Raw genomic sequence first — 27,077 nt, forward strand, 5'->3', positions numbered from 1 at the left:
CGACGTGTATGTGGTAGCAGTGGACCCAAACACCACAGAAAACTTGGGGCAGCCACACAATGGTGTTATTTCAGTCTATAACAATGTTCCATAACCACCTTTTTTTTTACTTAATATGTCATACATTTTCCATGTTATTAAATGTCTATGTGTGATTTAAATCATTTATATTATGTTAAATAAAGCATATAGATTCTGAGATAAGTACTAATACTTTCATTTTAAAGATGGGCAAACTGATGTGCAGAAAGTTTAAAAACGTCTACCATTCCCACAACTAGTAAGTGAGGGGCTCATATTGAAATCCAGTCGGGGCTGACTCCAAAAGCCAGGATTTTCTCACTACACTATGTTGATCCTCAGGGCATAAAAAAACCAGGCCCAGCACATACCCTCTACTTTTGATATCTGGCAGAAGGCCTGGGGAGCGAGGTGTCTGTATGAGAAAGCAGAGTGGTCGAAATACAGCCCCTACCACCATCTTCTTGAAATCGTTCTATTATTTTGCAGTTAACAAGCTGATGGCAATTTAAATTCAGTTCAGGTGTTTAAATACTAGACACTGGGAACACACAGATAAACAGGGATGCCAGTTTAAACAGCTGTATCTGCTTCAACACATTTCAGAAGCAGGAGCAACAGGGAGACCAAATTAAGGCCTGGCACCTTGTGTGCTAGAGACAGATTCTCAGAGTGAGCCCGTGGAGCCCACCACACTCATACCCCACCGCTAGTTCTGCCATGTGCACTGCTTCTGCCACAGAAATGTAGCCTAATTTGAATGGCACAGTCTGTTAGACTCCTCTTGATACCAAAGGAAGGCTTCTCTCTGTCTTTTAGTGATGAAGACACCAGTTGCCCCGCTTCTCTTTTCTTTCCTTTTTTTCCCCCCAATTGGCATCATTTGCTAAGCCCCTCTAAGTACCCAATTCAGGCAGGACATTAGAATTTGCCTCTCAGAGAGGATGCCTCTGACTCCCTCTAGAGGGCACTTGCTGCCAGTTATGGGCTAAGTGCCATTGCTGGGAGGATTCTGTGATCAGCCGGCTGTCAGATTCACGGAAGGCTCCTGGCGCTTGTTGGTTGGTTTGTTCTAGAGAAACAGTTGGAGAGTGTTTCCTTGGGCAGCTGGGAGAGGTGGGGGGACTCCCTGCCCACCTCAATCTCCTCAACACCCCTCCATCCCTCCCCTCCCTGACTGGGCCTTCACTCAGCAGGCCCTTCTAGAGGGCGGAGGCCAAAGGGTGTCACCCGCTTTCATGAACAATGCTGCCTGGAGCCTGTGGTGTTTAGAGGAGTAGATTTAACCACAGAGGGTTTGTGGGAACTCCTAGTTCAGAACACAAGGGAGGAGAGAACAGAACATTGAGATGCAAAGATTTATGAGGGAGAAAGACTCATGTAAGAAAAGGAAATTAGAAACCAAGCAAGCAGAATATTCCAAAGACAGCCACATACCACCCATAATAATGAAGTTTCCATGACTCTCTTTGGCTCAGATAGGTCTGCTTAATAATTAATATGGCAACTCTCCCTCTCTCTGCAAACAGGTGGCTGTACAGGGCTTGGCAAATATTTCCTTATTGCTCCCTTTACTTTCTCCGAGAGGAAGGTTGGGTGGTCCAGAGGATTTCCCAGATGGAGCAGCAGGCTTCCCATGCCTGCCATTTGCATAAGGTAACAGAGTGAGACAAGAGCAGTTCTGGGACTGGCAGGCAGAGTTCCTTAGTGCCATGCGCACAGTGGCAAGATCCCTCAGGCACCTCAGGAGAGTGGGATCAAGGCCGAGAGGGTAGGCGAATGTCGGTACATGAATGGATTTTGAAATGGAGGCAGCACTTGTCATGTGCCAGCTTCCTTTGGAAAATGATGCTACAGAGATCCCATCACTGGTTGGGTCTTGTCCAGCTGCTTTGTGGAGGGAAGGATGAACAGGACATGCTCTCCTTTGTGCCACCACCCCAGTCAGGTTTGTTCCTCTCCATCTCTGGACTCGTTGTTAGTCTTCCCTGGCTTCACCTTCTCCTCTTCAGTCTAGACTGTACATACTGCTGCCAGAAATATCTTCCCAAAATACTGCTTCTGCCATGTCCCTCCCCAGATAGAAAACCTATGGAGGAAGTCACAAACAAGTCATATCAGTCCTGTAGATATGCTTTGTTTCAAGTATGTGATGTTTTAAGAAATATTTTGAATTTGTTTCCAACACGGAAAAAAGGAAAATCTTAGATAAAAATCTGAATTTCTAGCTTTTGGTGGGGGGAGAACTAGGTGATCTGGCAATTCTATACCTGTATTTCCACATTGCAGTTGACTGGAGTGAAGTAGCAACTGCTGCCTTCAGACAGGGCACTGATGATGTTGAGCATCTTTTCATGCACTTATTAGTCATTCATATATCTTCTTTGGTGAAATATCTGTTCAAATCTTTTGTCTATTTTTTAAAAAATGAATTATTTGTCTTCTTATCATTGAGTTATCAGAGCTCTCCTTCACTTTTTACTAGATAATTCTTCTTTACTCCAATTCTCTGTTATGGTGAATAATTCCTTATATTACACTTTCCCTGCTCATATTACTATGTGGTATCTCTCTTTATTGGATTCCAATTTATACACATGGCTACTAATATTTATACTCTGTTAAGCCAGCAAGAAATGCTCAGAACGTAAGTAAGAAAAAGAAAGTGTTTGAGCTAGACAGATTTGCGTTTGGATCCCAGTTTTGTCACCTCTATGTGGCTATAGACAAGGCATTTCATCTTTCTGAACTTGCCTGTTATTACCTTTAAAATATGAAAATAATGGCCACCTCGCAGGATTTTCTTAAAGATTAGAGATAATATACGAAAGTAGCTTATCACAGAGATTGGCAGTTAGTAACAACTCAAAAAATGATAGCCAAAAATAGCAGCAGCAAGTGACCAAGAGCTGAAAATAAGTCTTAGGGTTTCTACAGGTGAGAGTAATATTCATTTAAGCTACATTTGATAACAAGGTCCTTGTTATTTAGCAAAAAGTACCCCTTAAGTGGCACCTGTGTGCCACTATAGCTAAAGAGATGCCAAAGAGAAGCTGGATGATGATGGCCCAGGAAGGTCCTCATGCCATGACCACGCTTTGGGAGCTCATCATAAATATGAAGACTGGTCTTCAGCTTCATAGGATCCATTTTATCAGTACCCCAGGAGTGTCCAAGCTTTAGAAGGCTGACGTATGTCAACTAAACTCACGTAGTTAGTCTTCAGGATAACTGGAGTGACTCTCTTTTAGGGATTGATTCATTATTCAGTTGCTGCCTATTATGAAAGTTAAAAAAAATTACTTATTCTTATATTCAACCCAACTATTTATGGAGACACAACCTCAAACTAAAATGATCAAGTTGCTATTGAAAAAAACATAAATTACAAGATACCACAGGCACTGTGATATCACTAAAATGCAATGACAATAATTATTTAGCTTACCAGCTGATTTGGACATTTTATATATTTAAGTTTTGTGCATGATTAGAACCAGAATCAGGAATAGACACAATGAAGGTGTCATAGAGTGGTAATTCATAGGTTTTCAAGTAGTGGCTTGATCTTTGCCTGAATGGAGTGGGAAAACTGCCAGCTAGAGGCCTGTAAACAGCATCTGCACTCAGATGAGGATACTGGAGTGTGTTAAGATCCTTCTCTTGTTTTGAGACCCTTCTGTTCTGAGAGAGTCTTGTAAGTGATCTCTTTGGTCAGGCAGATGTAAGGTAAGAATCCACTTGTCCTTGGGGAAACCTGCTAAGTATTCTATTTGGATCTATTATCTGGAGTGTGACCTCAGATTTAGGACATTTTTTTCTACACATGGATTTGAGCTGTGGTATTCTGAGCATTCTATGTGTATGAAATGCATAGGGGTTTTGCTCAAGCATTTGCACACTGAACGCAGGAGGCAAGGTTATGGCAGGTATGATGCACAGGACTTATTGTCTCTTTACTGCACACAAGATAAAAGACTGGAGAGGATGTGGACTGTTTGTTGTGCCACATGGTTTTATTTAGTACAGAATAGGCCATTTTTGTTACAGAATAGGGCCTCACTGTGCCCTGTAAGAGAATGGAAGACAATAGATGCTCTACAGAGACAGAGAAATGAGGTGGGCTTTGGACTGAAAATGAGGGAGATCTTTGGGTCTGGTGGAAATTGAGCCTAGATTCTGAGCATGGAGATATAATGGCATTTGTCAGCTACTCTCTGTTGTATGTCTTTGTTCCAAGGGCATTTATTACACACCCAGATTAGATTCAGATTAGCCACATTTGGGGAGCTAAGGAACATGGCTATATGCATATTTAAGGCACTACATGTAGAGGGAGTTGGTATTCCTGGAGTTACAAGACAACAAGAGGTGAAAGCAGGAGCATGGCACCTCAATATTCTGGGGGGCAAGGGCTCGGACTGAGATGGCACGTGACAAGCAGAGAGGGTTTATGGAACCGGGGAGGTTTTCTCAGTGACCACTGGAGGTACTTGAGGAGGCGAACCTGATAAAAGGCACTTTCTGCAGCCCTAGAGGATGCTTGATAGGAATTTAGCTATTGTTATTTGTGTATTAAAAGGCCAGAGAATTTGAGTACTTCTGTGCTACATAAATATACATATTTTAACACCATAGGTATAACAAGATCACTGACACTATTAGAAGCAGAAGCTCAATTCTAGGACAATATTATGAACTGGCTTTCCAAATCATTCCTAATAATGAGTAGCAACACAGAAAAGACCTTTTTTCCCCTCTATTTTCCTTCCTTTTCTCTTGCTGAGCTTGGAAATCTGGGTGAGGATCAAACAGTCCTTGCTTATGGTTCATATGGGGCTCTGCTCTCTGGAGCTCCTCCTAACAGCATATCATGCTTCATGACTCCTGCAACCGACTAGCTCTGATGCTCTGATCTGACAGGTTTCTATTCTTGATGTTTGTTTTGCTATGCATTATACATTACCCCATGCTTATGAAGAACTGGCCATTCTATCTGACTTAGGCCTTCGTGGTTTCCTTGGACTTTTAGTAGTCTCTGACCTTCTTTACCTTCTCCTTTTTTTCTTCTTTCCTCCTCTTCCTTATTCTAGAAAAGATTTTCCTTCCTGTAAGGGATAGCTTTAAAAAAATTTAAAGTGCGTATACAGATATAGTTAATCAAGATTAAATTAAAGGTAGATGAATAAAAGAAAGGAAAAACAAGGACGAGGAACAAGGGGGATACAAAAATGTATCCCTAATGATTCCAACTCTTGATTACTGGTGGGCCACCAATTGATGCCAAGCTTCCCGGAGATCACTTGAAAAGGTGGGAGCTTATTAAGTGCCCAAGCCACAGGGGTCACGAGGTGAAAACCAGCAAAACAACTTATTCCTAATATTAAAACCAGAAAGAAAATTATCTTAAGACACGCCATAAGGAAGATCTTGTGTAATATCATGAAAAGGGTCTTCAGTAACAACTCTTTACTGTAGGCACTGGGATGGAACTCATTAGGGGTAACTGCACCAAAGCTCAAGAAAAGCAATTCTCTGCTAGGTGCAGTGGCTCACACCTGTAATCCCAGTACTTTGGGAGGCCAAGGTGGGCAGATCACTTGAGGTCAGGAGTTTGAGACCAGCCTGGCCAACGTGGTGAAGCCCTGTCTCTACCAAAAAATACAAAAATTAGCCGGGTGTGGTGGTATGCACCTGTAATCCCAGCTACTGGGAAAGCTGAGGTGGGAGAATTGCTTGAACCCGGGAGGTGGAGGTTGCAGTTAGTGGAGATCAAGCCACTGTACTCCAGCCTGGGCAACAGAGCAAGACCCTGTCTACAAAAAAAAAAAAAGAATTTTTTCCTTTTTTTTTATTATACTTTAAATTCTAGGGTACATGTGCACAACATGCAAGTTTTTACATAGGTATACATGTGCCATGTTGGTTTGCTGCACCCATTAACTCGTCATTTACGTTAGGTATTTCTCCTAACGCTATCCCTCCCCCTGCCCCCAACCCCACAACAGGCCCCTGGGTGTGATGCTCTCCGCCCTGTGTCCAAGTCTTCTCATTATTCAATTCCCACCTATGAGTGAGAACATGAGGTGTTTGGTTTTCTGTCCTTGTGACAGTTTCCTCAGAATGATGATTTCCAGCCACATCCATGTCCCTGCAAAGGACATGGATGCATCCTTTTTTATGGCTGCATAGTATTCCATGGTGTATATGTGCCACATTTTCTTAATCCAGTCTATCATTGATGGACATTTGGGTTGGTTCCAAGTCTTTGATATTGTGAGTAGTGCTGCAATAAACATACGTGTGCATGTGTCTTTATAGCAGCATGATTTATAATCCTTTGGGTGTATACCCAATAATGAGATCGCTGGGTCAAGTGGGATTTCTAGTTCTAGATCCTTGAGGAATCACCACACTGTCTTCCACAGTGGTTGAACTAGTTTACACTCCCACCAACAGTGTAAAAGCATCCCTATTTCTCCAAGTCCTCTCCAGCATCTGCTGTTTCTTGACTTTTTAATGATCGCCATTCTAACTGGTGTGAAATGGTATTTCATTGTGGTTTTGATTTGCATTTCTCTGATGACCGTGATGATGAGCATTTTTTCATCTGTCTGTTGGCAGCATAAATGTCTTCTTTTGAGAAGTGTCTGTTCATATCCTTTGCCCACTTTTTGATGGGGTTGTTTGTTTTTTTCTTGTAAATTTGTTTAAGTTCCTTGTAGATTCTGGATATTAGCCCTTTGTCAGATGGATAGATTGCAAAGATTTTCTCCCATGCTCTAGGTTGCCTGTTCACTCTGATGGTAGTTTCTTTTGCTGTGCAGAAGCTCTTTAGTTCAATTAGATTCCATTTGTCTATTTTGACTTTTGTTGCCATTGCTTTTGTTGTTTTAGACATGAAGTCCTTGCCCATGCCTATGTCCTGAATGGTATTGCCTAGGTTTTCTTCTAGGGTTTTTATGGTTTTAGGTCTAACATTTAAGTCTTTAATCCATCTTGAATTAATTTTTGTATAAGGTTTAAGGAAGGGATCCAGTTTCAGCTTTCTACATATGGCTAGCCCATTTTCCCAGCACCATTTATTAAATAGGGAATCCTTTCCCTATTTCTTGTTTTTGTCATGTTTGTCAAAGATCAGACAGTTGTAGATGTGTGGTGTGGTGTTATTTCTGAGGCCTCTGTTCTGTTCCATTGATCTATATCTCTGTTTTGGTACGAGTACCATGCTGTTTTGGTTACTGTAGCCTTGAAGTATAGTTTGAAGTCAGGTAGCATGATGCCTCCAGCTTTGTTCTTTTTGCTTAGGATTGTCTTGGCAATGTGGGCTCTTTTTTGGTTCCATATGAACTTTAAAGTAGTTTTTCCCAATTCTGTGAAGAAAGTCATTGGTAGCTTTATGGGGACGGCATTGAATCTATAAATTACCTTGGGCAGTATGACCATTTTCATGATATTGATTCTTCCTATCCATGAGCCTGGAATGTTCTTCCATTTGTTTGTGTCCTCTTTTATTTTGTTGAGCAGTGGTTTGTAGTTCCCCTTGAATGGTTCCTTCACATCCCCTGTAAGTTGGATTCCTAGGTATTTTATTCTCTTTGTAGCAACTGTGAATGGGAGTTCACTCATGATTTGACTCTCTGTTTGTCTGTTATTGGTGTATAGGAATGCTTGTGATTTTTGCACATTGATTTTGTATCCTAAGATTTTGCTGAAGTTGCTTATCAGCTTAAGGAGATTTTGGGCTGAGACGATGGGGTTTTGTAAATATACAATCATGTCATCTGCAAACAATTTGGGACAATTTGACTTCTTCTTTTCCTAATTGGATACTCTTTATTTCTTTCTCTTGTCTGATTGCCCTGGCCAGAACTTCCAACACTATGTTGAATAGGAGTGGCGAAAGAGGGCATCCTTGTCTTGTGCCAGTTTTCAAAGGAAATGCTTCCAGTTTTTGCCCAATCAGTATTATATTGGCTGTGGCTTCATCATAAATAGCTCTTATTATTTTGAGATACATTCCATCAATACCTAGTTTATTGAGAGTTTTTAGCATGAAGGGCTGTTGAATTTTGTCGAAGGCCTTTTCTGCATCTATTAAGATAATCATGTGGTTTTTGTTGTTTGTTCTGTTTCTGTGATGGATTATGTTTATTGATTTGCATATGTTGAACCAGCCTTGCACCCCAGGGAGGAAGCCAACTTGATCGTGGTGGATAAGCTTTTCGATGTGCTGCTGGATTCGGTTTGCCAGTATTTTATTGAGGATTTTCGCATCAATATTCATCAGGGATATTGTTCTAAAATTCTCTTATTTTGTTGTGTCTCTGCCAGGCTTTCGTATCAGGATGATGCTGGCCTCATAAAATGAGTTAGGGAAGATTCCCTCTTTTTCTGTTGATTTTCCGGAATAGTTTCAGAAGGAATGGTACCAGCTCCTCTTTGTACCTCTGGTAGAATTCAGCTGTGAATCTGTCAGGTCCTGGACTTTTTTTGGTTGGTAGGCTATTAATTATTGCCTCAATTTCAGAGCCTGTTATTAGTCTATTCAGAGATTCAACTTCTTCCTGATTTAGTCTTGGGAGGGTGTATGTGTCCAGGAATTTATCCATTTCTTCTACATTTTCTAGTTTACTTGCGTAGAGGTGTGTATAGTTTCTCTGATGGTAGTTTGTATTCCTGTGGCATTGGTGGTGATATCCCCTTTATCGTTTTTTATTGCATCTATTTGATTCTTTTCTCTTTTCTTCTTTATTAGTCTTGCTAGAAGTCTATCAATTTTGTTGATCTTTTCAAAAAACCAGCTCCTGGATTCATTGATTTTTTGAAGTGTTTTTTTGTGTCTCTGTCTCCTTCAGTTCTACTCTGATCTTAGTTATTTCTTGCTTTCTCCTAGCTTTTGAATTTGTTTGCTCTTACTTCTCTAGTTCTTTTCATTGTGATTCTAGGATGTTGATTTTAGATCTTTCCTGCTTTCTCTTGTGGGCGTTTAGTGCTATAAATTTTCCTCTACACACTGCTTTAAATGTGTCCCAGAGATTCTGGTACAATGTGTCTTTGTTCTCATTAGTTTCAAAGAACATCTTTATTTCTGCCTTCATTTCACTATTTACCCAGTAGTCATTCAGGAGCAGGTTGTTCAGTTTCCATGTAGTTGTGTGGTTTTGAGTGAGTTTCTTAATCCTGAGTTCTAATTTGATTGCACTGTGGACTGAGAGACAGTTTGTTGTGATTTCTGTTCTTTTACATTTGCTGAGGAGTTCTTTACTTCCAACTATGTGGTAAATTTTGGAATAAGTGTGATGTGGTGCTGAGAAGAATGTTTATTCTGTTGATTTGGGATGGAGAGTTCTGTAGATGTCTATTAGGTCTGCTTTCCTGGATATCCTTGTTAACCTTCTGTCTTGTTGATCTGTCTAATATTGACAGTGGGGTGTTAAAGTCTCCCATTATGATTGTGTGGGAGTCTAAGTCTCTTTGTAGGTCTCTAAGGACTTGCTTTATGAATGTGGGTGCTCCTGTATTGGGTGCATATATATTTAGGATAGTTAGCTCTTCTTGTTGAATTGATCCCTTTACCATTATATAATGGCTTTCTTTGTCTCTTTTGATCTTTGTTGGTTTAAAGTCTGTTTTATCGGAGACTAAGATTGCAACCCCTGCCATTTTTTGTTTTCCATTTGCTTGGTAGATCTTCCTCCATCCCTTTATTTTGAGCCTATGTGTGTCTCTGCACGTGAGATGGGTCTCCTGAATACAGCCAACTGATGGGTCTTTATCCAATTTTCCAGTCTGTGTCTTTTAATTGGGGCATTTAGCCCATTTACATTTAAGGTTAATATTGTTATGTGTGAAATTGATCCTGTCATTATGATGTTAGTTGCTTATTTTGCTCATTAGTTGATGCAGTTTCTTCCTAGCTTCGATGGTCTTTACAATTTGGCTTGTTTTTGCAGTGGCTGGTACCAGTTGTTCCTTTCCATGTTTAGTGCTTCCTTCAGGAGCTCTTGTAAGGCAGGACTCGTGTTGACAAATTCTCTCAGCATTTGCTTGTCTGTAAAAGATTTTATTTCTTCTTCACGTATGAAGCTTAGTTTGGCTGGATATGAAATTCTGGGTTAAAAATTCTTTTCTTTAAGAATGTTGAATATTGGCCCCTGCTCTCTTCTGGCTTATAGAGTTTCTGCTGAGAGATCTGCTGTTATAGAGTTTCTGCTGAGAGATCTGCTGTTAATCTGATGGGCTTCCCTTTGTAGGAAGGGGTGGCCTGCCCCTCCACACCTGTGGGTATTTCTAGTCGGGTGGGACAAGAGACTGAGAAAAGAAATAAGACACAGAGACAAAGTGTAGAGAAACAAGAGTGGGTCCAGGGGACCGGCGCTCAGCATACTAAGGACCTGCACCGGCACTGGTCTCTGAGTTCCCTCAGTTTTTATTGATAATTATTTTCATTATTTCAGCAAAAAGGAATGTAGTAGGAGAGCAGGGTGATATAAGGAGAAGGTCAGCAAAAAACATGTGAGCAAAAGAATCTATGTCATAATTAAGTTCAAGAGAAGGTACTATGACTGGACGTGCACGTAAGCCAGATTTATGTTTCTCTCCACCCAAACATCTCAGCGGAGTAAAGAATAACAAGGCAACATTGCTGCAAACATGTCTCACCTCCCACCATAGGGCGGTTTTTCTGCTATCTCAGAATTGAACAAATGTACAATCGGGTTTTATACCGAGACATTCAGTTCCCAGGCAGGCAGGAGACAGTGGCCTTCCTCTATCTCAACTGCAAGAGGCTTTCCTCTTTTACTAATCCACCTCAGCACAGACCTTTTATGGGTGTCGGGCTGGGGGACGGTCAGGTCTTTCTCATCCCACAAGGCCATATTTCAGACTATCACATGGGGAGAAACCTTGGACAATACCCCGCTTTCAAGGGCAGAAGTCCCTGTGGCTTTCCGCAGTGCATTGTGCCCTGGTTTATTGAGACTAGAGAATGGCGATGACTTTTACCAAGCATACTGCTTGTAAACATTTTGCTAACAAGGCATGTCCTGCATAGCCCTAGATCCCTTAAACCTTGATTTCATACAACACATGTTTTTGTGAGTTCCAGATTGGAACAAAGTGGTTGGGTCAAAGTGGCTGGGGCAAAGCTACAAATTAACAATATCTTAGCAAAGCAGTTGTTCAAAGTACAGGTCTTTTTCAAAATGGAGTCTCTTATGTCTTTCCTTTCTACATAGACACAGTAACAGTCTGATCTCTCTTTCTTTTCCCTACAGTGGGTAACCTGACCTTTCTCTCTGGCTGCCCTTAACATTTTTTCCTTCATTTCAACCTTGGAGAATCTGATAATTATGTGTCTTGGGGTTGCTCTTCTCAAGGAGTATCTTTGTGGTGGTCTCTGTATTTCCTGAATTTGAATGTTGGCCTGCCTTGCTAGGTTCGGGAAGTTCTACTGGATTATATCCTGAAGAGTGTTTTCCAACTTGGTTCCGTTCTCTCCATCACTTTCAGGTACACCCATCAAATGTAGATTTGGTCTTTTCACATAGTCCCATATTTCTTGGAGGCTTTGTTCATTTCTTTTTACTCTTTTTTCTCTAAACTTCTCTTCTCACTTTATTTCATTAATTTGATCTTCAATCATAGATACCCTTTCTTCCACTTGATTGAATCAGCTATTGAAGCTTGTGCATGCGTCATGTAGTTCTCATGCTATGGTTTTCAGCTCCATGAGGTCATTTAAAATCTTCTCTACACTGTTTATTCTAGTTAGCCATTCGTCTAATCTTTTTTCAAGGATTTAGCTTCCCTGCGATGGGTTTGAACATCCTCCTTTAGCTCAGAGAAGTTTGTTATTACCAACCTTCTGAAGCCTACTTCTGTCAGCTCATCAAAGTCATTCTCCATCCAGCTTTGTTCCATTGCTGGCGAGGAGCTGCAACCCTCTGGAGGAGAAGAGGTGCTATGGTTTTTAGAATTTTCAGCTTTTCTGCTCTGGTTTCTCCCCATCTTTGTGGTTTTATCTACCTTTGGTCTTTGATGTTGGTGACCTACAGATGGGGTTTTGGTGTGGATGTCCTTTTTGTTGATGTTGGTGCTTTTCCTTTCTGTTTGTTAGTTTTCCTTCTAACAGTCACGTCCCTCAGCTGCAGGTCTATTGGAGTTTGCTGGAGGTCCACTCCAGACCCTGTCTGCCTGGGTATCACCAGCAGAGGCTGCGGAACAGCAAATATTGCAGAACAGCAAATATTGCTGCCTGATCCTTCCTCTGGAAGCTTCATCACAGAAGGGCACCCACCTGTATGAGGTGTCAGTTGGCCCCTACTGGGAGGGGGTCAGGCTACACGGGGGTCAGGGGCCCACTTGATGAGGCAGTCTGTCCATTCTCCGAGCTCAACCGCTGTGCTGGAGAACCACTGCTCTCTTCAGAGCTCTCAGACAGAGACGTTTAAGTCTGCAGAAGTTTCTGCTGCCTTTTGTACAGCTATGCCCTGCCCTCAGAGGTGGAGTCTACAGAGACACAGGCCTTGCTGAACTGTGGTGGGCTCTGCCCAGTTCAAGCTTCCTGGCCACTTTGTTTACCTACTCAAGCCTCAGCAATGGCGGATGCCCCTCTCCCTGCTGGGCTGCTGCCTCGCAGGTGGATCTCAGACTGCTGCACTAGCAGTGAGCAAGGCTGTGTGGGTGTGGGACCACTGAGCCTGGGTAACCATAGTGAGACCTCATCTCTACAAAAAATAAATTTTAAAAAACTGGCCAGGTGTGGCACACACCTAAAGTCCTAGCTAATTGGGAGTCTGAGGCAGGAGGATTGCTTGAGCCCAGCAGTTCAAGGCTGCAGTGAGCCAAGATTGCACCACTGCACTCAAGCCTGGGTAACAGAGCAAGACCCTGTCTCTACAGAAATGGGTGGGTTCTGTATCTGTATCATGTTTTGGAGAGTACATGAGAAATCATATGTGAATCCTCTAGCACAGTGTGCCTGGCAAATGGGAGGCAATTTATAAATCTTAGTTCTTCTCCATCCCTCTTTCTTCCCTTCTCCTTTAACACAATATGGTGTTTATACTTAAAGACTTGTTAAATCTGGTGCAGTACTTATTTCACATATGATTTCTCTTTATAAAGAGACTATTGTCTTCAACTCTTTAAGCCTCTCCTCTCAAATTATAGATCATAGTGCTTTGGACATAGTAGGAATGCAGTACCTATGGGCTGAGTGATTCCAATTGGAATGTCATGAAAAGGAGGAGTAGAACAGGGTCCTCATGGCAGTCACTTAAAGTCGTGGCAGGACCCTGTTCCCAAGGGCCCCTCGTGCCATTCTCCAAAAGCTATTTCCCCTGTCAGAGTAGGACTGAGAGAGAGACAGAGAGAGTGAAGGTGACAGAAAGAGAGAGAGGGAGGGGAAGAGAGAAGCAAGGTAGTGGGTAGGAGGTAGGGGGAAGCTGGAACAGTCTTTTTTTTCTCCTCACTCAACTTCAGTAAATAACTCAAATATTTTAATAGCCTGATTTTCTCAGTTCTCTTATAATTTAATTTGAGGGCTTTGGTAATGCACAGTGTTAGTACAATAAGGATTTTTTCTTAAATAAAGAGAAGCTTTGTGTTTGAATGAAAATCACATACAGAAGGAATCTAATTTTTTAAGAAAATCTCTTTGTTGTAGTACATTTCTCAAACATTAGTCAAACACTCCCTCTGCCACTTTCTCCACCAACCTCCCCCAGTGCCACCTAAAGAGACTTGAAAATAACTCATGATGTTTAGGGAAAATCAGCAGGCTATTTAACTTTTCCTAGATGGGTCATAATAAAAAAAAAAAGAGAGAAATAGTCTCCCCTCAGTTTATGGAACAAAGGGGAGGTAGGGAGAGCCTAGGATGGAGGAGCTAAGTCAGCCTTCCTGTTTAGGGAGCTCAAGCATATCAAAGCATGTCGGAGTATGCAGGGTACCCCACCACTGGTTCTGTTTGAATAGGGGCCTTATAAGCCTCAAGGGAGACGAGACCAATTGGAGCTAATGACTGCCTGCTGTAATAATTGTAGATAGTAAGAGAGATGCCATTTTTTAAAATTATACTTTAAGTTCTAGGGTACATGTGCACAACGTGCAGGTTTGTTACATATGTATACATGTGCCATGTTATTGTGCTGCACCCATTAACTCATCATTTACATTAGGTATTTCTCCTAATGCTATCCCTCCCCCCTCCCCCCACCCCACAACAGGACCTGGTGTGTGATGTTCCCCACCCTGCATCCAAGTGTTCTCATTATTCAATTCCCACCTACGAGTGAGAACATGCAGTGTTTGGTTTTCTGTCCTTGTGGTCTTTTGCTAACCATCATTCTGAACCGTCGTTCTGAGAGATGCCTTTTAAAGTTCCACACTGAAACATTTTACCTGGAGGAAAGGGATAGACACATGTACCAATTCAATTTAGGGACACTGGGTATAAGTGGAGGAATGATTTTGAATATAACATTGAGTGATGATATACAATATAGTATGCCCTCCTGGAAAAACCTCAAGGGATTCTCTGTCTTTGCTGGTTCTGACCACTTTGGGCACCTTTGAACCACTTCAAAAGTTGTGTAAGGTCCATCCAATCCAGATCCCTCTCTATAAGAAAAGTATCTTTTTACCTTGGAACCTTATGAAGATGGCTGAATTAATTAAGAATAATTGAGCCCATATTCTGGAGTTAGAATTTTATATCTTTACCATATGGCTAAGTCACACATAAATGCATACACAAATTATAAAGGATATAAAGTAGACATGCTAAAGAACTGATAAAAATCCTTAGGTCTGGCAAGAGAATTACCAGTGTTCTGGTCAAATTCATAATTCTCTTATTCTAGTTCTATAGATTCCCTCCTGTGTGCCATGCCATTTTTTCTAAACAACAGGCTATGCTGAGGTACGTTTTTCCTCTCCTGGGACTTTTATTTTCTGTCTTTCTTATGTACTGGCTAGAGGTTCATTTTATGCACAGTTTCTATCAGTATATTGCCAGGAAAATCTTTGACTTCCTCCAATAAGCAAAGATAAATAATCAGACAAGAACTGCCATAGCCTCCTACCGCTACATCTACTCTCCTACAATATCTGTCCCATATACTCTTGCCTTTCTGCTTCTAACACAGATGAACCCTCTGTCTCCTCTTTAAGTCTGACTCTTCTGCCTCTGTCTTCAATCCCATCCCCTTTCACCTACTCAAGGATATTGCTTAGCAATTTTCCTTATCTTTGTCTCTTTATCATCTATCATCACTGCATCGTTCTCATTAGCTTGCCCACATGCTATTATTTCTCCCATCTGAAAAATAAATCTTTTCTTGACCCCACTTTCTTCTGTAGCTGCATCTGATTTCTCTTTTCTTTACAGCAAAACTCCTTGAAAGAGTGGCTGCCTTCAATTCCTTTTTTCCATTATGTTGTAAACCCACTCCAAGCAGGCGTTCATCTCCTTCATTTCACTGAAACTACTTTTGTCAAGGTCAACAGTGACTTCTATGGAGCTCAATCCAATAGCCATTTCTCATGATCGGCCACTGTCCTTCCCCTCTTGACCTTTTCAGACTCATCTCTGACTTTTCTCCCTCCTTTCTTCACTCCAGCACACTGTCCTTACTGTTCCTCAAATCTGGGCAGGCTGTCTCCTCAGGGCTTTGCACTGGCTTTTTCCTTTGCCTGGGATGCTTTCCCCCGGATATGGGCATGCCTAGCTCCCAGACCGCTATTAAATCTCTGCTCATGTCACCTTTTAAGTGAGGACCACTCTGATCATCCAATTTAAAATTTCACCCCCCACCTCACCTCGTTGTCACTCCTGGTCCCTTTTGTATTCATTAACTATTGCTGTATAACATATTACCCTCAAACTTAATAGCTTAAATAACAACAGACATTTATTATCTTGCACAGTTTCTGTGGGTTAGGAATTAGGGAGTGCTTTAGCTGAATGGTTCTGGCTCAGGATCTCCTATCAGGTTATAGTCACATGTCAGCCAGGATAGAGGATTGGCTTCCAAGATGGCTTATTCACATGGCTGTTGGCAGAAGGCCTCAGTTCTCCCCACACAGACCTCTCCCAAGAATGCTTGAGTGTGCCTCATGACATGGCAGCTGGCTTTCCCCAGAACAAACAATCTAAGACAGCTAGGCAGAAGCTGCAATATCTTTTATAATCTAGCCTTGGAAGTCATACACCATTACTTCTGCCAGATCCTATTGTTCTCACAGGCCAGCTCCATTAAATGTGGGAAGAAATACAAGGTGTGTTTCCAGGAGGTGAGGAACTGGGGGCCATCTTGGAGGTTGGCTACTACATCTTTGCTTGATTTTCTCCGTAGTACTTATCACCTTCTAATACATTATACAAGTTACTTATTTAAGATTGTAAACCAAAAATATCTGAGACAGGTCTCAATAAATTTAGAAAGTTTTCTTTGCCATGGTTAAGGATGTGTGCCTGGGAGGCAGCTCTGTGCCTTTCTCTGAAGATGACCTTGAGGGCTTCCATATTTAAAGGGGAAAGGGCAGCTATTGGGGAAAGAGGAAGAAAATTCTTAAAGGTGTGGATAAATAAGAGACAAACAGTTGTGTACTTTTGATTTTTGAGCAGCCTTTCACCGAATACAAAATTTACACATGATGAGGGTGGGGGTAGAAAAAGAGTCTAGCTCAGTAAATCTGCATTTTTACATCAGAGGAAGCAATCAGATATGCATTTGTCTCAGGTGAGCAGAGCGATGACTTAGAGTTCTGTCCTTCGTCCTACCTGTGAGGATAAGCTATCAATTTACATTGTCAGGGTAAAACTCAACAGAACCCTTTTAGGGTAAAGATCTTGAGGCTCACAAGGAATTTCGTAGTGGTCAAATCATGAAGGAGGTATGTGGCTTTTTTATCTTTGTAACTATCTTATTTAGGAATAAAATGGGAGGCAGGTTTGCCTGATGCAGTTCCCAGCTTGACTTTTCCCTTTGGCTTAGTGATCTTGGGATCCTGAGATTTATTTTTCCTTCACAAGATGTTTATTTTTAGTCTCCTTGTTCCTGGAAAGGGGTCCCAATCCAGACCCCAAGAGAGGGTTCTTGGATCTCACTCAAGAAAGAATTCGAGGCAAATCCATAGAGTAAGATGAAAGCAAGTTTATTAAGAAAGTAAAGAAATGAAGAATGGCTACTCCATAGGCAGAACAGCCCCAAGGGCTGCTGGTTGCCCATTTTTATGGTTATTTCTTGATTATATGCTAAACAAGGGATGGATTATTCATGAGTTTTCTGGGAAAGGGTTGGGCAATTCCGGTAGCTGAGGGTTCCTCCTCTTTTTAGACCATATAGGGTAACTTCTTGGTGTTGCCATGGCATCTGTAAACTGTCATGGCGCTGGTGGGAGTGTAGCAGTGGACTATCAGAAGTCACTCTTGTCACCCTTTTGATTTTGGTGGGTTTGGGCCGGCTTCTTTAATGCAGCCTGTTTTATCAGCAAGGTCTTTATGACCTGTATCTTGTGCCGACCTCCTGTCTCATCCTGTGACTTAGAATGTCTTAACCTCCTGGGAATGCATCCTAGTAGATCTCAGCCCTATTTTATCCAGGGCCTATTCAAGATGGAATTGCTCTGGTTTAAACACCTCTGACATCATCATGCTAGGTGGTTAAGCTCCTCGAGGGCAGTGATTTTGTCTATTTTATTGACTGTTCTATGTTTAGTGTCCAGCACAGTATTTGGCACATAGCAAGACTCAAATATTTGTTAAATAAATAATTGAATATAAAGCTCTGCAAAATTCTGTCTACCTTCCCTGATTATTAATCTGGAGCAGCTTCTATCTCTTAAATTGCAAAGAGCTGCAGCTCCAGTCAACTATTTTCACTGCTCTGAGCATTCAGTGACCCATATTTGTTTTCTGACTCAATATATATAGTGCATTTGCTGGAGTGAAGAACTTCCTGATTGAAATCTGATCTTGTAAGGTACCTGGATGTGCTCTGGTGAACAGTAGGCTGAGGCAGACATCCGGGCTAGAGTGACTCATAGAGTTTAGGGTGCAGGCGCTTACTCCACCTGTTATATAACCTGTTTGTGTAAGCTCATACCTGGCTTGGAGCCACTGTTGTTTGAAAAGGTATAATTGTCCTGCTGATGCTGTACACAGGGGACATGGCTTGGCTCAGCTCTTGGGCATGGCTCAACATGGCTCAGCACACTGGCACCCAGAGAAAGAGAGAGAGAGCCAAAGATGTCTGTCTTGCAGGCAGGCAGGTGGGAGCCAGGAACCAGCTTTTGCCCAGAGAAAGAGTTAAGCTGCTGACCCTGAAAGCAAGGGAGAGTCAGCCGTGCAGCTCTGCATGGAAGTGGCCGGCTCAAGCAGCTGAAACAGAGCATACAGTGTAAGAGAGCTGCTGATGAGAGAGCTACTGAATAAAGCCATATTTCACCTACACATGGCCGCCCGAAGTGTTCTTTCAGCTATCCACCCACTCCCCTCAGACCTAAGCATGGGCTGGACCCTGACCCTGGATCTAACAATTGGTGACATTGGCAGGATGAGGTGTGGTACCCAGTGGCAGTGGTGCTGCTTGGATGGGCCCTAGTGGAAATGTGAGAGGCAATGGACAGGGCCCCCATGAGTATGGGGAAGGCCCTGAAGTACCTGGAGGTGCACAACACCAAGGAGGAACATGCCTTTGCCAGCAGAGTCAGATGGGCGTTTGTGACTGTGCTGCAGGAAGTGCACGCCCAATCCCTGTGAGACACAGTGCAGGGAGGAGGAAGAACTTCTGTTGCAGGCTTGCCCAGTGATCCGTCTGAAAATAGAGCATGGACAGCTGTTGGGCCCCAAGGGTGAGCCCAGGGACCCTCCCCAGTTGTGATGGAACACATTTCCTATAGTCCCGGTGCCCCTACTGAGTTGTGGGAGTTAAGCAAGTAATGTCGGCAGTCATGTACAGACTTAGTGCAAGTCATTCAGGAGAAGGACGTTGCTGTGCAACCCAGTCCCACCCAAGTGCTCCGGTTCAAAAAATACCTGCTGCAGTCAGGCAAAAGTGTAAAGCCTTTTCTGTTTGATAAGAGAACTGACCAAAGTGCCAGGATGGGTACATTCATGGGTAACAACCCCCCGGACTGGGAAAGTGGTTAGCAACTGCATATGCTGCCCTTCGGGCTCATAAGAGTGTGGCAGGATGGGCTACAGTCATCGTCTGGATGACTTACCCAATAGTGGGATGGGTGCATTCATGGGTAACTACCCCTGCCAGACAGGAATGGCACAGACATCCACTTTAGTGAAGTGGGGTGTCTACTTGGAACAGTGGAGTACTCTGAGTACAAGTCCCTTAGCAGTAGAGGTTTTAGGGCCTGTAGTCCTAATGCAAGATGAGGCCATGGGGCCTGAGGCACCCCTAGACCCTGAGCCATCACTGTTTAAGGAAGGGTGCCCTCCCATTCCTGATAGGGCATGGTACATAGCTAGGTCTAGCCAGGGTGCTACTGCTGTCTGGACTGCTGGTGCAGTCCAGCCTAGTTCTGACACCACATGGTTTGAAATCAGGTGTAGACAGAGTAGCTAATGAGCTGAACTCAGGGCAATGTAAATGGTAATCACCAAGGAGGTGACACCTAAGGTAGTCTGCACCAATAGCTGGGCAGTTTATCAGGGCCTATGTATGTAATGGGCCTGTGTGCCCAGAAGCCTATGTTTATGTATCAGGCCTGTGTGTCAGGCCTGTGTTCCCAGGCTTATGTATCAAGTCTATGTGTGTATATTGGGCTTGCATGCCCAAAGCCTATGTGCCAGGCTTATGTGTCAAGCATATGTGTATGTATCGGGCCTGTGGGCCGAAAGCTTATGTGTCAGACGTGTGAATCAGGGGCTTATGTGCCAAACCCGTGTATTGGACCTATGTGTCTAAAATCTATGTCTCCCTCAGCTTAGGGGGTGGAGTGTAAAGTACATGGATGTGCTTTGGTCAACAATAGACTGAGGTGGACATCTGGACCAGAATGACTCAGCAAGTTTAGGGTGCAGGCGCATACTCCACTTTTTATACAACCTGTTTGTGTAAGTTCGTACTTGCCTTGGAGCCACTATTGTTTGAAAAGGTATAACTGCCCTGCTGATGCTGTGCATGGGGAACATGGATCCGCTCAGCTTCTGGACATAGCTCGACATACCTCAGCAAACTGGTGCCCAGAGAGAGAGAGAGAGCCAAAGCTGTCTGTCTTGCAAGCAGGCAGGGGACAGCCAGGAACCAGCTTGTGCCCAGAGGAAAAAAGAGTTAAGCTACTGACCCTGGAGGCAAAGAAGAGCCGGCTACACAGCTGTGCATGGGAGTGGCTGGCTCAAGCAGCTGAAACAAAGCAAACAATGTAAGAGAGCTGCTGATGAGAGAGCTACTGAATAAAGCTGTATTTCACCTACCTATGGCCCCCACAAGTGTTCTTCCAGCTATCCACCCAGTCCCCTTGCATGGGCTGGACCCTGACCCTGGACCTAACAGATCTAAAAACAAATTTCCCTCATTGGAACCACCACCACCAACACACACATAAAGTTAGAGTCATTTTTTGTTTGTGTTTTTTTGGATCATTTTATGCCCACTGCAGATACTCCAGTATATACAAAAATAATAGTGTCAGAGGCGTTTGAGCCAGAGCAACTCCATTTTGAATAGGGGCTGGGTAAAATAAGGCTGAGACCTACTGGGCTGCAGTCCCAGGAGGTTAAGGCATTCTTAGTTACACAATGAGATAGGAGGTTGGCACAAGATGTAGGTCACAAAGACCTTGCTGATAAAACAGTTTGCGGTAAAGAAGCCGGCCAAAATCCACCAAAACCAAGATGGTGATGAGCGTGACCTCTGGTCGTCCTCATTGCTCATTATATGCTAATTATAATGCATCAGCATGCTAAAAGACACTCCCACCAGCCCCGTGAGGGTTTACAAATACTGTGGCAATGTCAGGAAGTTACCCTCTATGGTCTAAAAAGGGGAGGAACCCTCAGTTCTGGGAATTGCCCACCCCTTTTCTAGAAAACTCACGAAAAATTTACTTTTTGTTTAGCATATAATCAAGAAGTAACAATAAGTATAAGCAGCTGAGTGGCCCATGCTTCTGCTCTGCCTATGGAGTATACATTTTTTATTCCTTTACTTTCTTAATAAACTTGCTATCACTTTACTCTATGGACTTGCCCTGAATTCTTTCTTGTGTGAGATCCAAGAACCCTCTCTTGGGGTCTGGATCGGGACCCATTTCTGGTAACAACAGGGTCTCACCCACAGTGTCTTCTGGCCCTGCCAGGCCCTCCAGCTAAGCAGGGAATTATACTAAGCAAGAGGAGCAAGTCAGCGAAGGAGCTCTGGGGCTAGGGCGGCTGTAAGGGCTCTAGGGGCACATGGCGGCTCTATGCTGTGGCCTAAGAGAGGCATTTTTAACATCTGGGTGGTGACCCTGCTGCCATCAGAGTTCAGGAATTGCTGAGAGGAGAAGCAGCACCTGTTCTCTGGGTCTCTGCAGTGGCAGCAGCTGAGATGGTAATAGGTGTGCTGATGCCTGAGGAAGTGGAATCCCAGCTGAGGGAGTGGTCAAGCGCTGGCAGCAGCTGCGAAGGGCAGGGGCCCAGCTGGTTAAGGAGAGAGCCCTGGCTTCTCCGCCTTCACAGTAATCCCTTCACCTGTGCTCTTGGGCCCATCCTGACTTTTCCTCACAGTCTCTTGCTTCAACCACTTCCCCTACTCATTTCAGGCTTCCTCCTATTCCATGGTCTTTCTCCCCTCAGCCTGCAAATATGCTTTGCTCTCCCCTTTTCTAAAAACCTCTTCTGTCTCCTGGGACCACTTCTCTTAGGTCTTAGCCATCCCTCAAAAAAACAAACACACAAAACCATACTCTTCTACCATTTAGTCCTGTTTCCAACCAACAGCTATAGTTGCATTTGTCTTTCCTTAGCAAACATGTTAAATGAGCTATCCATATACCTGGCCTTCCTCAGCAACTTACCCATTTATGAATTTATGCAATAGGCAATGTATTGAGGACCTACTATGAATAATAGACTGGGAATAGAGGATAGATTACGGTTTCTTCCCTCAGAGGAGTTCTCTGCCTAATAGAGGACATAAATGGGTTAAAAAATTTACAGTATAATGTGATAAGTACAACAAAGAAGGGAAGTACAGTGTTCAGAGGTATAATAACACAAAAGAGAGAGTCATCGACTAGAGAGAAGACAGGCAGAGATCGAAGATGGTTTCCTGAGGGATGTGGAGTCTGAACTAGATTTCGAAGGACAACAGGAAAATGTAGGGGAAAACACAGTTTCTTGGAAGCTGAATAAGAGATATCAGTCAACTTCATCTACTGCCACAGAGAGATGACATAAAATGAGGAAAACACACAGATAAATTAGCAGCATGGAGGTCATTATGGGACTTTGCCGATAAATCAAAATAGAGAGGATTGCAGTGGGATGAGAAGCAAACAAGGTGTGAGAAGGTAGAGGTTTTGGCAGAAGCCTAGCTGAGATGGGAGAGCATTGTAAGGCAGCAGCTAGAGAGAAGTGCAGGGTGGGAGGAGAACTGCCAAGGTTGAGAGAGAGACATACCAGTTGCCAGCTCCTTAGGGATGTCACAAGGAATCAGTGAGTTAATACACGTGGAGTGCTTACACAATGCCCAGCACACACTCCATAGGTGGTGTGGCCAGAATGCAAATTCTCATGCCTGGGTGCTAATCCCATGCTTATTTCATTGCATCAGGAAGGCCTGGGGGGAAATTTCCACATTCAGAGAGTTCTTGGGTAATGGGGAGAGATGAGAGAGATTGGGTAGTGCCATTTGAGGCCAGTCAGAGGTCTTATGGCTCATTCAGGAGACACAAGGCTCTGAGCTTCCTATGTTCTGACAGGGTCAAAGTTTCCCTCACCAATTCTCCCCACATGGCTTCTTAGCCAGACTTCTTCAAAGAGGCTGATCGCAAACCACCTTACCTCATGACAGCCCCCCAGACATCCCTGCATGCCTCCCAGCAGAATATTTCAGGTGGGCAGCTTAGCCATCAGGGGAGGGGACTGCAGCTGCTGAGGACAGCTGAGCTCCAGTCCTTGCTGTTCTATTGGCTGCCCAGTGAGTGGAGAAGGTGATGGGGGTGGGGCGATGTCCTTAGGGAGGAGGGTTAGAGGAAGCTCCCAGATGGGACACCACCACAGGAGGCTGTGATCACACTGACTGAAGGAAGTAGCAGGTCCCATTCAGTCCCTGACCTGGGGACAGTCTCAGAAGGGAACAGTCTCATGAGTCCAATTTTAAAGAATTGCTGAATTGTCTGAAATAATGGATTTGGAATTTTTTTCCACTTGGGATAGTAAATTCCACCAAGAGAGGAAATAACTTATAAATGATTAACATTGGCATAAGTTAATATTTCTGATTGCAGGACCTTGTCAAATGGAAGGCCGCGTAGGATTTGGAGAGGGGAGAAAGGGAAAAGAGAAAAAATACTCTGAGTAGGGGACCCTGCTAATGAGAGAGCAAGCCTGTTGGGTGGTAAGGATTGAAGTGGGGATGATGGGATGAAATCTATGAGGGTTCAGGGGGCTCCTAGAATCCTAGGAATATGGAGGATCTGAGGGGAAAGAGAATACATTGGTTGAGAACATACCATGTGCCAGGTACTCAGCTAAGCAGAGTAGATACAATGAGTAAATCTAAGTTTCTGACCTTTCAGAATCCACAGTCTGAGACTGAGGGGAAAAAGGTACATTTCAGTAGAAGGTGTGAACCACTATGGTGGTTACAAGCATGGCACTGAACCAGCCTGCTTGGATCTGAATCCCAGTTCTGCCACTTATTAGTTGTATGGCTTTGGGCGAGAGTCTTAACCTCTCTGTTTCCATTTCTCCATCTATAAAATAGGGATAATAGTAGTAGCTACTCATAGGGTTGTTGTGAGGAAAGAATGAGTTAATACACATACAAAGTGCCTCAACCAGTACCTGGAATAAAATAAACACTATTGTAGGGTCCTCCAACTTCCCCCACTTTTTCTCTGGTCCTGCCGGGAAACGTAGAACACTTGCACCACTCTCCCAGCCAGATATATGTTTTCTCCTGCAGGCTTGAACCCAAGTGGGGCCCTTGAACATTTCCAGGCACCGATAAAGGTGTTTGCATTTTTGCCCAAAACCCTGAAAGAGACTAGCCCCAGCCCCGAGTCAAACTCCTTAAACCCTCTTATAAGCTCCATACCCTGACTTTCTCATTGCAGACATACCTAGGTAGGACATCCCTTGTCTCATTGTCCTTCGGGAGGATGCTCTCCAGCCCCCCTCTGTAATACAGTTCACCTGATACAGTAAATGCTTTTAACTAATCACCTTGACATTTTAGTACTTCTTTCTTTGGAATCCCAACTGGCCCCATCCTGGAATCATTTGGGGCAGTCCCTTGCAGGAACTCCTCTGCCCCTGCTTTTGGGTGACTCCAGCTGTGGGTTCAGCCACAGAGGCTGACATCAGGTTTTGTCACAGAGGCAGGCATCAGGTACTATGGGAGAGGTGACCAGAGAAATCTCAAGAGGCAAGTTTGTCCCCTACACAACCGGGAATTTTTCTGTGCCTTTGCCTTTGTTTCCCTTTTTCTTTCCTAGGTCTCTACCGAATCACTTGCTTCCTCACCCCGCCCTGCAGGGCCAGTGATGTGCCATCACAAGCCAGTGCAGTAAGTGCCTGACACTCCCAATGCCCCTTTGATAAGGAAGGCTCTGCCTCCAGGAAACAGAAGCTGTCTTTATCTTTTATTCCTGTCCAGTGTGCTTTCCTTCAGCCATCTCCTTTAATCATCCACATTGTCCACCTGAGCCCCAGTTCTGAGGTCCTTTCCCTGGGACCCTTGAGGTTCTCACACAGTCTGGGCAGTGGGTGTCGCTGGTCTCCAGCTTTTCCTGCTCTTAGCGATCTGCAGTAGTCTCTTTCCTCCTAGGTGCAGTGTGCTCTGGTTCCCTGAGCCATCCAGGGATGTTAGGAAGATCAGGAACCAAAGACAAGTTCAGGGAAGGAAACAGAATGTCTTAGGGCTCTTCAGAAGCCCTAAGAGCACGAGCCTAGAGATATGGATATGGCTCACCCTGACTGCCTCTAGCTCGTCAGGTGACCCAGCACCTCACTCCACCTCAGTTTCCTTTCCTAGATGTAAAGTGAGAGGGTTGGATGAGGTCAGTAGTTTGCAAACTTTTCTCTACCATGGAACTCTTTTACTATTTCTCTTTGCATGGACTTTATGTTTGAAAAGATTTGATCAGCTCAAAACACCCTGCCATTTAATAAATTATTTTTCCATTTTTTAAAATTTATTTTTATTGTATATATTTAAGGTAAACAACATGATGTTTTGATGTACATATACATAGTAAAATAATTATTACAGTCAAACAAATTAATACATCCACCACTCTCCATAGTTACCCCCATCCTTTTTTTGTGGTAAGAGCCCCTAAAATCTACTCTCTCAGTGAATTTTCAGTACACAGTACAATAATGCATTATTACTATAGTCCTCATGCTGTACATTAGGTCTCTTAGTCATTCTACCTAACTGCAAATTCCTACCCTTTGACCTGCTTATCCCCATTTCCTCCCTCCCCACTCCTGGTAACCACTCATCTACTGTTTCTATTTTTTTAACTTAACATATTTTTTAGGTTCTGTATATAAGTAAGGTTATACAGTATTTTTCTATGTCTGTCCTATTTCACTTAGCATAATGCCCTCCGCATTTATCCGTATTGTCACAAATGGCAATACCTTCTTTTTAAAGACAGAATAATACTCCATTGTGCATGTGTGTGTGTGTGTGTCTGTGCATATATATATCCATATACATATATATATATCCATATACATATATACATATATATCCATATACATATATACATATATATCCATTTTAAAAATCCATTCATCCATCAATGAGCACTTAAGTTGTTTCCATATCTTGGCTCTTGTGAATTAATATGGGAGTGCAGCTATCCCTATGAGGTGCTGATTGCCTTTCCCTTGTATAGATACTCAACAGATAGATCATTTTCCATCCTTTATTACTCAAAGACTTAAATCAGCAAGAGAAAGGAATTTTGTAACACAGAATTGACAAAACCTTAACTAAAGCAAACGTGAATAAGCCTGCCTTTTCAAAAGCTTTTGTATAATTGCTAGTAAACGCACGATTTCCACTAGACTTTTTTGAAATATTGAAAATAGCACTGGCTCTGCCATTGGCCCTTTAGTGTAAACCTGAGCATCTAAGGTCTCTGGGCTGGAAGAATTTCACTAGATGATTTCTCAAGTCCCTTCCACTGCAAAAATGTTCTAAATCTATGATCTCCTTGTGTCAATAGTGAGTTGATGCGAGCTGGAGGTTGGAGGTCCATACAAAAGGGGCATGTTAGGGCTGGCTGCAGCTCTGTGTTTAGTACAGTCTTCCTCCATTTTGATGCTATCATTCAAAATTGGGGTTACTTTCACCGGGGTTGGGTTGAAGTCTATCTTTACTGAGTTTATGAAACAAGTTTACCACAGTAAATATGTCAAAACTCCCAGTAGGCTGGATGTGGTAGCTCATGCCTGTAATCCCAGCACTTTGAGAGGCCGAGGTGAAAGGATCGCTTGAGCTCAGGAGTTCAAGACCAGCCTGGGCAACATAGTAAGACCCCATCTCTACAAAACAAACAACAACAACAAAAAGCAAAACTCTCAGTAGCTTGTGAGGGTTGTTGGTAATGACATGGGAAGCACAGCATTTCCTAGCATTTAACCTCTCCAGTCCCATGTATGTACCCATGAAAATGATATCCCAATAATGTATCATTTTTGCCATCTGAAATATTTTAACTTCCTTGGAAATTTTATAGCACTGACAAAACCACGTATTAATTGATCCAATCTATTTTGAGCCAGGAGCTGTGCTAGGCATTGCTGGGAGGGCTACTGAAGTATATAATAAGGTAAGCTTAACTGAATTTTTACAAAAATG

The 27,077-nt window shown here is 43.1% G+C and overlaps 2 long non-coding RNA genes across 2 annotated transcripts in view; one reads left to right on the forward strand and one right to left on the reverse strand.

Moving 5' to 3' along the window:
- Positions 1-934: 934 nt before the first annotated feature.
- LOC105371230 (uncharacterized) overlaps positions 935-27,077 on the reverse strand; it is a 40,010-nt gene continuing 13,867 nt past the window's right edge. Inside the window, exon 3 of the long non-coding RNA XR_922077.4 lies at positions 935-2,110. This is a non-coding gene — a long non-coding RNA (uncharacterized LOC105371230). The remainder of the gene's footprint in view (positions 2,111-27,077) is intronic.
- The window catches only part of LOC102723321 (uncharacterized), an 88,963-nt gene continuing 63,482 nt past the window's right edge, over positions 1,597-27,077 (forward strand). The window contains exon 1 of the long non-coding RNA XR_922079.4: positions 1,597-1,677. This is a non-coding gene — a long non-coding RNA (uncharacterized LOC102723321). The remainder of the gene's footprint in view (positions 1,678-27,077) is intronic.

Source organism: Homo sapiens, chromosome 1, assembly GCF_000001405.40.
Source record: "Homo sapiens chromosome 1, GRCh38.p14 Primary Assembly".
NCBI lineage: Eukaryota > Metazoa > Chordata > Mammalia > Primates > Hominidae > Homo > Homo sapiens.